Source organism: Homo sapiens, chromosome 4 (genome assembly GCF_000001405.40).
Source record: "Homo sapiens chromosome 4, GRCh38.p14 Primary Assembly".
NCBI lineage: Eukaryota > Metazoa > Chordata > Mammalia > Primates > Hominidae > Homo > Homo sapiens.
Window position 1 is genome coordinate 37,211,027 of NC_000004.12, and position 11,970 is coordinate 37,222,996.

Here is an 11,970-nt window from a genome sequence, read left to right on the forward strand (position 1 = left end):
TCTCTCTCTCCTCTCTCTCTCTCTCACACACACACACACACACATACACATACACATACACACACATATATACACAGTGCTTTATAGTTTTCAGGATGCAATGTTGATTTTTCTAATCATCAAAAAGCTGCCGATGTATATATATTTTTAAACGAGAGGTATTTCCATGTCTCCGTCCAACATTTTGTATTTGAAAGTAATCTTCACAGCTGTAAAACTTTAGTCTTTCTTAAGATATATTGCACATTCCAAATACACTGACCTAAACCTATAGTTTTCACACATGGTTAGGAGGCAGAGCACCCAGGAGCCAGAGACCTCTTTGAGGAAGACTATCAAATATTGTTTCATAAATCCAAAATACCAAAAACAAAATGATGTGCTAAATTGGATATCATATTATGTCAGCATAGACAAGAGACAGCCAATGCCAAAGGTTTAAGGAAAATACAGGATGGAAAACTTAACTTAGAGAATGGATCTGCCAATGCTTTTGGTTGACATTTCTGCAAACTTTGAAAAGTTTTTTCCCCAATAGTGGATCATCTTGACCTACTTCAAGGAACTCCTAAGAGCAGCCCTGAGAACACACAAGGTGGCAGGCCAGGAACTCTGAAAATAAGCCTCCAGATTTGAACGCTCATTCCCATCTGAGGCTGTAATAGCACAGTTTATATCCATCGTGGCTGACTGATACTGCCTGATTAGGGCCGTATTTTGATTCAGAGAATTGGAGTTGATGTATGCTGAGTGCCTACTATCTGCAGGCTCAATGCCTAGTGCTTTACCTTAATTTTATCAAATACTGAAGCATGTACTATTATTTTAATTTTTAGATGAAGATAGTGTTATATCCAGAGGTTAGCTTGCCCAAAGGCATACAGTGAATAAATAATAACACATCACTATACACAATGATAGCAGTTTGGTGAATCTCATAAAATTATATCAAGGATCAAATTAGATAAGCAAAAAAAAAGCTTTGAAACTTTAAAACTTTCACCTAAGTTTGTTGTATCATCATTATAATCATAAGTATCATCAACATCACCATCATTGTCATCATCATCACTGGGTCACCTTTTAAAGAAATCTGTCATTTGATAATAAATAGTAACATCAAATTGATTGTATTTAACCTTCAGATAATGATCACCAAGACAGTTTTAATGATAGGAAAACATATCTCATCAAAAATGGAAAAAAACTGGTCTTATTTGGCCTGAAAATGAGAAAAATAAATAAAGGCCCAATAACTATTCAGTGATTATATTTATTTTAATTATATAGGCAATCTAACAAGAGAGCCAGAATGATAGAAAACAGAAGAAATATTATGCTCAGCCCAACCACAATAAGACAACCATTGTCAACATGTTAGTATAACTCTTTCTAGTTTTGTAATATTAATAGTCTATGTAGCTATATTCAGCATACATATAGTTATATATCCTGTTTTTAATTCACAAATACTATATCTCCATTTTAAGAGGTTTTTATATAATCTTTGTAACCTTTTTTTTATAATAGCCTTATAATAGGTCACACTGTATGTTATTTAACAACAGTCTTGTTGGTAAATTCTAATTTTTATAATTCTGTGATTTAACAAAAATATTTATACACATGTGCTATCATTTGAATTTTCAGGAGACATTAGCAAAACTGTGTACAAGAACAATTTGTGGTTCCGGGTTCATTCTAACAAATATTTTTCCCAAAAGTATATACCAGTATAGAGTGCCAACAATCCTTAGGAATACTAGTTCAACCAAATACTTGCTAGAATTGTTATATTATTATTTAAGAATTTCTTTGCTAACTACTAAAAGGAAAGTAGTGCCTCTTTGTTCTAAAATAGATGCCTTTGCTATTAGCGACAGTAAACTTTTCCCCATGTACTTATTTGTTATATTTGCCCCTTTGTGAATTATCCCAAGTTTTTTACTTATTGATCTGTCCCATTCTTAGCGATTTTTCCTTAACAATTTGCACAAGCTCTTTTTCTAAAGATGATATTTTCCTGACCATAAACATTCGCAAACATTTATCCTCAATCTGATATTAGCCTTTTTGTTTTGATTGCTTTATTTGATATTTAAATGTTTAGCTTTATGTTTCTATAAAGCTGTCTATTCTAATGTGATTGGTGGGGTGGGGGAACTTCTAAGCTTAGAAATTTAGGGCCTCGGCAAATGTTTAATGAATATTTATTTCTTGTTTTCTTAACACCTTTGTAAAACCTAACTCCTTAATAAAGTACAACTTATAGTTCTGTAGCGCGGTCTCTCTCAGGTCTTACTCTATCTCACCTCACGTTCTCTGCTTTAGTCTTTTCCTCCTCCAAGTTTCTTTATGCTGTTCTTGCTCTGCCCAACTCTTAAGTGTTGAAACTTCTCAGAAATCTGCCTTGGTCCTCTTATCTTATTCCTCTGCACACCACTGCCCCTGGGCAGTCTCCCCTATTCCCTTACCTGCAATTGTTCCCACTACAGTTTTGACCTTCAGATCTCTATGTCCAGGCCCAACTAAGTCAGAAACCCATACATCATCCTCGACTTCTTCCTCTCTCCTACCCTTGATAACCAGATTCTGTAGATTCTGCCTCCTCATTTTGCTCCTTTCCTGTTGTCCTGTTCTCCATCCCCACTGCCATTCTCCCAGAGCTGGCCCTTGTCACACAGCTGTCATTGCCTCTTTACTAACCTTCTTGCCTCCAATCCTGTCCTTTCCAACACTTCCTCTTCGAGCTCTAGGGGATCTCGTTATCATCACAATCTGTCCTGTAGCTTCTCTGTCTGAAGTTGTCTGCTCATTGGCAAACAAGTACAGACCACGGGTTATGGTAAAATTCTGCAGGGGAGATCCAGAAAGAGGGGTACCTAATGGGAACAAACACAGGTTAGAGAGTTGATAGTAACTGTGGATAAAAAGAGGGCAGGAGAAAGAAAAGCAAGGAAGTCTTCATAAAAAAGGCTATGGGAATAGATAATATGTAACATGTATTGAGGGCCTTCTTCTGGGCAAGACAGTTTACCTGTAACAGCCTATTTAGTTTTCAACAATAGCCATATAAAATAGGTACCATTAGCAGCCCCTTCTTATAGATGAGGAACATGAAACAAGAGAATATCAAAAACGGTACCTTTAGGCACACTGCTAGAGAGTGGAAGAGCCAGTATTTCTCATCCCAAGGTCCATGCTCTTAGCCATGATGCAAACCTGCCTCTTACAGGAGTTGGGGGAAAAAAGGTGTGAAGAAAGAGAGACTAAGAGAGAGAAAGAGAAGATTATGAGAGATATGACACCAGGTATCCAGTTAGGTAAGCCAGGAATCTGACAGTCAGGAATCCTGGGTTATGATCCTACACTGTTGTGTTAACTTTGGAATAATGATTAAAATTTACTTGCTTCAATTTCAGCATTTGTAAAATGAAGTTATTGCTACTTCCTCTTATAGTTTCTCACCAGCATATGCCTTGAATTCCTTTATACATTTATAATAGCATAGCATTATTAAAATTAAGTGTGATCAGATCTACTAGCATGAGTATCAAAAGATAAGAAAAACTTGCCATCTTTACAAATATTTCAAATGTTGTTCCAAATTTTTTAATTCCAGAAGAAGTTTGTTTTCCAGAACCCTTGAGCTCTACAGTTCTGAGAATCTTGTGCAATGTCCCCTGGAACTAAGTCTGCTTTCCTTCTTCCCCCAGCTTCTAGAAGTACTAGAGAACTTCTCAAAGTGTTTGAATCTCATTGTCAAATACTCTATACAACTTTAAAAAGAAACAGCATTGAGGAGTCTAGAGCAGATTCCTAAAAGCAAGGGCAGGCATCTCCAAGGAAGGTTCTTCTAATTGGCATCTTCACCTGCTGCCTTAGTTCATCCAGTTCAGTCAGAGCTTGGATCCAGACCATCCTGGAAACAAACACAGCCTGTGAATTATTCTGGAGATGAAATGTAGATGGCCTCTGCCTCCAAGAGCATCAGTTTAACCCACTTGGTCTCCCAAGTATTAAACTTGCTTCTAATTGAAAGAAAATCTGTTGAGAAACTTTGCTTCGGTGACAAAGTCAGTCTAAAGATTTGGGGATTTTCTTTCCTTCTTCAGGAAAGGATCTTTCAACTAAATTGACACTCTGCCACCTACACTGTTTCTATAGTAATCTCTTATTAACCAGGGTCTCTTAAACCCCCAAAATAAAAAGCCTAGCCCATCAGCCACAGGAAACATTAAGAATTCTCATTTTATATGTGAAACCATATTTTTTTCTTGTCCCCTTGCCCTAACCATTTAAAATTATTGCTTGGTGACTCAGTGCTTCTCCTTCTAAACTTACTTATGGGAAAGAACTGCAATATATGCTTTGGTTCAGGATAATGTATCAAGATTTGGGGAGAAGAAATTTACGGATTTGGCAATTTCTCGTCTCATTTTGGAAATATGAGTAGATCTATAGGATGTGAATATAACCCCTCCCTGTATCCTATGAGACTTTTGTTTTTCATTGGTTGCTATATACAAAGGAGGCAAAAAGCAATTTGTAGGAAAGTAGTATTGATAATCTAAAAAGAAAATGTTATAAAATAATTGAATGACAGCTAAAAATTAGCAGCATTATGTAATGAATCAATATGAATTATAAAAGCAAAATAAATCTGAGCACATTGACAAGAAGTTAAAAATATTAAGAGATGGGAACACAATTTGTCATTCTAAAATCATTATATAACTTAGCTCCAAAAGGCTAGAGAAAAATACCACTAGCAAGTAGTGCTAGTGAAATTATCCTGTCTTTGAGGATAAAATAATACAAAAAGAGGGAGGAAATAAGCCTTTGAAATTATGTTTATTATTACCTACATTCAAAACCATCTTAAGTAAACTGCCAAATACACTTCATACCAATTCACCCAACTGTCCTGAGGCCAAGAAGGCAGAAAAGTATCTTTTCAAGATTCCAGTTGATTGGTGGTGTCTGCCTGCAGGACTAAGCTGAAAAAAATTGTGAGGCTAAGCCTGGACCCAGCAGGAAAGACTACTAGAATTTATTAGTGATGTCTGCCATGGGTATTTAGGATTAGGAGAGGAGATGCTAGAAGACATACTAAATATTTGCCCATCTTAAATCCCAAAGCATGTTATCCACACATAAGTGAAACTTATAAAGATTCTCATGTGTGTCTCTTTGTATACATAGGTAAGCAACTGATGGGTTATAGAGAATGCAAATATTCAACAGCTTTACAAGACAATATCAAATTGTTTTTCAAAGTGGTTGTATTACTTCACACTCACAATGAGGAATCTCATTGTAAGTTACACTAGCAATAAGGAAGTTATTGCTAGTAAGTTACCCTAGCAATGAGGAATCTCAAACACAAATAAATTTTCCCAAAGTCCTACAACTATAAGTGATGGAGACAGACTTGGATACAGGTATATCCCTTTAAGAGCCTGCTTTGTTCACAACTACTTTAAGAGCAGAGAAGATACACAATTAGCTCGTAAGGCCTAAGGAAAAATAATTGCGAAAAGAGGTGTTGGGTTGACTTCAGGATATAATAGAACCCTAAGTTAAGTTCTAATGACAATATACAGAGCAATGTTGATCAAACTTGAGGGTTGACCTCTGAAGCTTATCACAAAAAGAACAGGAACTCAGGATTTGAGGAAAACCTTGACCTGGATATCCAGTTAAAGTTGAAGGAACCCAACTACAGAGAACAAATTATATGCTTGCTTTGTACCTTAACTACCAGTTTCCACCTTGAAGACTGTTTGCTTCAAATCAAAGGAGATTTTCTTGCTTCAGAATTTTATGGGTAGGTTAAAGTTAAATAGTCCTCAAACAGGAAAGGTAAAGCATGTTTCCAAAGTTCTGTCCTAGGAGGACATCTCTGATCCATTGGCTGGGCAGAGAGTTGCCCTCCATTTGGGGATATACTGGTTGACTTGGTCCTAGAGATGGACCACATAGTTTTAGATATATTAATTATGGTTTTCAGCTAGGTCTGCAACAAGTAACTAAAGTGAGAACACCTAAAAATATTTTGACTTGAAATATACTAGTAACAGACAAAAATGGGAGGTCATGGGCTAAATTAATTTTTTTCATTTAAATCTTACATTTATAAATATTAACTTCTGTGTATTTAAGCTGAATCAGGACTTTAAAATCTCCTTCTACATTGTACTGAGTGGTCTCTAGATAGCTTTGGCCAACCCAGTTTCTCCTCTTTCTTCATCTTGCCTCTAGTTCTCAGAACAACTGTAGAAGGTGCTGGAAATGAAATATCCTGAGATACAGAGGAGCTGCCTGCAACAGCCCAAGCCTTGTTCCTGTGCCTCCTGGAGAATGTAACATCTTGAGTTAGGGAGGAACAAACAGCCAGAAACAGCCCAAGCTTTGTTCCTTTCTTCCTTGGGAATGGTGTGTCCTGCAGAGTTTATCCATTGAGTCCTGTTGCCCCTGAGGCATGTAACCTGGGGCGGGCTGTCTTTTGGAGGCCCTCAGGTGTCCTACAGATGGGGCACATAAAGGCAAGATGCCATCCACCTCTGGCAGCTTTCGTGAAGCTTGAAAGACTGGCTTATAATGGACCCTAGGTTTCTTTTGTCCCTTGCTGCCTCTCTGTAAGTAATAAATCTGCTTCATGTAACTTGTTACATGTGAGTGTATTCTGTCTCACCAGACTAAGGCAATAGGTAAAACTGTAGCCAGGATGCAGTGGGTGGATGTGTTCAAACTCCTATTCCTGGTAGTTGGCATAGTGATGATCTTTGCTATCCTTTACACAGTGGGAGTCCTCCCTTGGGACTGGTTATTAGTATACCTGCTTCACACAATGGAACAAAAATAAAAGCAAGTTCTTTCCAAACCACTCAGTATGTGTAACATTTTACAAGCTGCTTCTTTTGTGTTGGTTTGAGTTTTTTAAAATATTGTAACACAGGATATAAAACATAAAGAAATAAACCTAAAATGTATTCCCTTCTCAAATACATTGATTCTTGCACCTTAAAATGAGTTCTAGGTTTTCAAACTGAAAAGCCAGACTCCTTGTTAATATTCTCAATCTTAAAGCAACTTTTTACATTTTGTTAACTCACTGAATTTATTTATTTTATGTTTTAATCTTCAGTGCAATTCAATGTTACATTCGAATTTGATTTTAATGAAATATTCTAGAATTATTAACCTCTTGCAAAGTTTCTATTTTTAGGTATCTATTATAAAGAGGGTGACTATTTTTCACTAAAATTGTTACACCCAGCATGTAAATTTTAGATTACAAAAATTACAAAATCCTCTAAATAATTCCTCCTTAAAAGATGGTATGAGACTGAGGGCTACTATTCAAAGATGTTTTTCCAAAGAAGCCACCATTATTTTGCTGATTTTTATGGTATCATACTCCCTTGATATTCAGCCAGTAATGTATTGTTGTGTCCTGGGTGGTGTTGGTTTTGCTTTACATAGTATCACTTGGTTTCATCTTTCTTTAATCCGGCACCAACCACTTTTACGTCCTCACAACATCTCCTTATGTTGTTGTTAATGTATGTATGTGTGTTAATGGGTACAAGTTATCTCTTTCATATGTCAAGTTACTGTTAAAGGCAAGGTTATTATCTACATGTCCAAGTAGGTGACAAGACCCAAAACCTGGAGACAGGACCACATTCAGGCTGTTGTAAGGCAGATCCTTCATCTCAAGTTGTCCAATGCCCATCTCCCAATTGTCAGATGTTATAACTCTGCCTCTCCCTCTCATGCTGCCTTTGCACAGATTAATTTTCCCCCTTTCCTTTTGAGGCTGTAGGTCAATCTGTTTTCAGTTTCATACAATTGCATAAATAGGCTCTGTTAAAGTGCTTTAGTCAGTTAGTGAAGTGCTTTTTTTTTTCTCAGATATGTCTTCTCCACTGCCCCAATTCCACTAACCACTCAATATATTCTTATCTGTTATAAAAAGAGGGAAAAAGGATGTGAATGAATCCCACATACACACAAAATATGGAACTATTCAATAGTTTTTATTGTGATTCAAGTGACTCTCCACTCCAGAGCCGATAAATGAGATAGAGTGTCCATCTGGGACGTGGTGGTAGTTGGTCTCCCATTAGGTAAAACCTCTATTGCAACTGTTATCCCAGAAGTTTTTAGGAATAAGGAGAATGTGCAATTCTTTCCAGCCTCCCTCTCTAACCTTTCTGGGAGCCCTGAGCTGTGATTGTGACTGGTAAGATTTGCTTACCAATTAGCAAAGCAAACCACACTCTGAAATGTGTAAACGATCCTTTAAATTGGGCAGAATGCCCAGAAATAAAGCTTCTCTGACTAGTTATAACTAATGTTATCACCGTTACCTCTTCCCTTCAATTATTTAGGCTTCCCCCACACATGGACTGGATTCCTACTGACAGGAATGTGGAACTCACTCATTAATCATTTTCTTGTCTCTGGCAGCGGAGGAAGGGAGGGATGCTCACTACCAAAAATAGAATGCCTTCTCTCTCTGATAAATAGGATAAAACTCTGTAATAAACATGTTGTCTTGTCATGGGCAATTTCTTTTGAAATTGTCTTGAGAAAAAGCATATAATATCAGTGCAGTTTATCTATACATCATAGGCATACAATAGTGAAGATGTAACTAGATACTAAACTAAAGTGCTTGTAAAAGATGCAATCAAACACAAATTCTCAGTTATGCTAATAACCTCAGGGTCATGGAGCACTAAATTATCCAAACAATAAATGTCTGGCAAACATTTTATGTGAAGACTAAAATTTGTGTTTTTATCACTTATATACATGAAAAAGGCTAAAAGGCAAATAAACCCATTCATGTGTGTGTATATATATATATAGGCACACAGGAAAAAATTTATCTCCCTGTATATGTTTCCAAAACCTATCATGTTAGATCACAGCTTTGTAGGGTTTCTAGGAGATTGCCATTGTACACAAATCCAGTGGAATGCTAATGCCATAAAGTCTAACTTTGAAAAGAAAAACTGGAATCACTGTTAAAGGCTATCTAGTCCCATGTCTTCATTACGTAAATGAGGAAGCTGAAGCTCAGAAAATTATTATCTAAGAAGCCAGAGGTTCTTTCTGACCCACATTCCCAGTGTGAGTTATTTCAATTTCTTATTCCTTTGTGCCAGTTCATCCACATTTCTATTTTGGCTTCATGTGAGGTCAGAGCAAAGATATGTAGCACTCTCTGATCATCCTTTCAAATCCTGATTTACTGTACTTAGTTTAATGAAAGAGTGTCACTCTCATTTTTCAGTTGTGGAAGCAAAATTAGAAGTTAAGTCGGTTATTCAGATCACCAAGCTAGTTAGAGGCAGAGCAGGGATCGGTGCCCAGGCTGCCTGACCTCTAACATCCCAAAGCGGGCAGTATATTGATACTAAGTGCCTCATATTTAGCTCCATATCTTTTCTTTCATTCAGAAAAAAAAAAGGTGGTTTTTTTTTTTTTTGGTGTATCTGTAAAAATGACTAGATTTGTTTTCACACAGGTATACAATAAATGCTAAAAGGGAACAGGAGACTCATAGGTCTGTACACACCACGTGGAATACTCTCCCAGACACCCTGCCAGCTATCTCATGGGAGGTCTCTGAGAGTCCTTCTGGGATCTATGCTTAATAGAAGGATAGTACTAGAACCACTTCAATTAACTTCTCATTTCACCGATCACCGTCTCTCATCTCTACAAAACAACACAATCAAAGCAAACAACACTGATGGTTTTCAATATATTGGCCTGTGGATGAAATGCATCAGCTTCTCTATTTAGTTGATCTATGTGAAGTGAGAATGGCTTGGGAGTGGTCGCTGTCACACTGTGACAAATGGGAGGGACTAGACAATCACTTCCTCTTTAAAAGGCACCATCTGTTTTGTAAGTTGTTCCCTTTCTTCCTTCTTTCATCCATCCTTCCTTCCATATTTTATCTTTCATGACTTTTCTTTTCCTGTACATAGTACTTTCACAAAGCAGAAAAACCAAAATCTATTTATAATGTAAATTAGCCTATCATGTTGCCTAAATGAATAACTTAACACTGATGAAACGAACTACAGGTTGACAAACACAGAGATACAGAATACATAGACCTGGGATTGAGTCCTAGTTGTGCCCAAAATAAGAATAAGCTGGGTCACCTCAGGTAAGGCACTTAACCTCTCTGAGCCTATTTCTTCACCTGTGCTGTGAAATTGATGTAATCAACCAGAGTAATTACAAAATACAAAGTAAAACTACATATAAAAGTTCTTAGTAAATTGGAAAGTTCCATATATATATATTATTATTTTTAACGACCTGATTTTTATCAGTTTCAATCTTGTTTCAAATGACAAGATAAAGTCGATGATCATGCCTCTATCTTGTAACTCTTAAGAATTGTATATTCAAATTTTGTGCACCAATTTAACTTGGGATAAGAAATTCTGACCAAAGTAGCTTGAGAAATGATTTTAGTATTTGACACCTGAACCAATGTTAATAACATAAATCCCTGCAATAGGTAACTCAGTCCACACCTATGCTGATCAGTTCCACACTGAGCTGCTGTTAGTTTGGAAAGATCTGCTTCTGGAATAGAAGTGAAGATTAGTGGGGAAATGGGTCCAAGAATAAATTGTGTTCGTGAAGTTTATCTGCCATCAAACCCTATCTAAATTTCAACTAAAATTTATAGCACTCTAGGTTATACCATGTGATCAGCACTCCAAGCCACATTGAGTATTCTTATCTTTGCATGTCTTATCTGATTGGCCGTAGAGCAGATAGTGAAATTATGTTCTACTTCCTGCTGTCCTATCTTTCTGAGCTAAAAGGGTCCAGATAAGTAAGCCAAGACATTTGTCAAAAACATTAGAGTATATTCACTGTGTAGAGGTAACCTGAAGAATTTCTCCTGAACTCATCTTCAAGGAGCTCGCCATCTTTTTCTTTTCTTTTATAATGTCAACGTGTATTTTAGATTCAGGGGGTACATGTGCAGGTTTGTTACATAAGTATATTGCATGATGCTGAGGTTGCATGCAAATGATCTTTTGATCAAGAATATCTTGGAATAGCAACATATCAACAAAAGTAAATGGCAGCACACAGTTCTAAGGGAATTATAGATGCAAAGCCAAACTTCACTAAAAGGCAGATTACAGATTCAGATGTAATGACAGTGTTTGAAAAGGTGGGGTAAGAAAGGTAGTGAAGGTGAAAATAGAGTTTGTAAAGAGGGAAAAAAATACCTAGAATATTGTCCATGTTAAATGAAGCACCAAAAATGTTTTTAATGTAACTTTCAATGACTCCTCCTTGTTCTCGCAACAAAGTCCAAACCCCTATGCAAAGCATGATTCATGGAATACCTAGTCTGTGGGAGGCCTTAGCGAACACATGGCAGCTGTGATTGGTCCCATCCACCTTTCCTACATCTTGCCGTATATCTAATACAAACCTCATACATCTAAAGTTCACAACAATCCACTGATGTTTCTACTTCCTTACCTTTGTTCATCCAAGAATGGCCATCTCCTTCCCTTGAAGTTTTTCTTGCCCTTCAAGGCTTTTCTCAAAGGCATTGCCTTTGCAAAGCCTTTACTAATCCATGAAGCAAGCCTCCAGAGCATTTTGACAGCCTCTCTAGAATCAATTAATTATCAATTAATAAATAAGTGAATCCATTGGGAAGAATATCATAAATGGAGAAAACGTACACTTTGAAAATATATGGAGGATCCAACATTGAGGTGTTCACATGCATACAAAGCATCTTCCTTCTCCTTGCCCTTTCCTCCTAGGAAGATGGTATCACAAGTTTGATCCTAGTGACAGTTGAGTCACCAAAGCCAGTGCCCACAGCACAGCACTGCGGATAACTGAGGTAGAAGAACTAGAAAAGTGAAGACAAAATGATGAGACTTCAGTCTT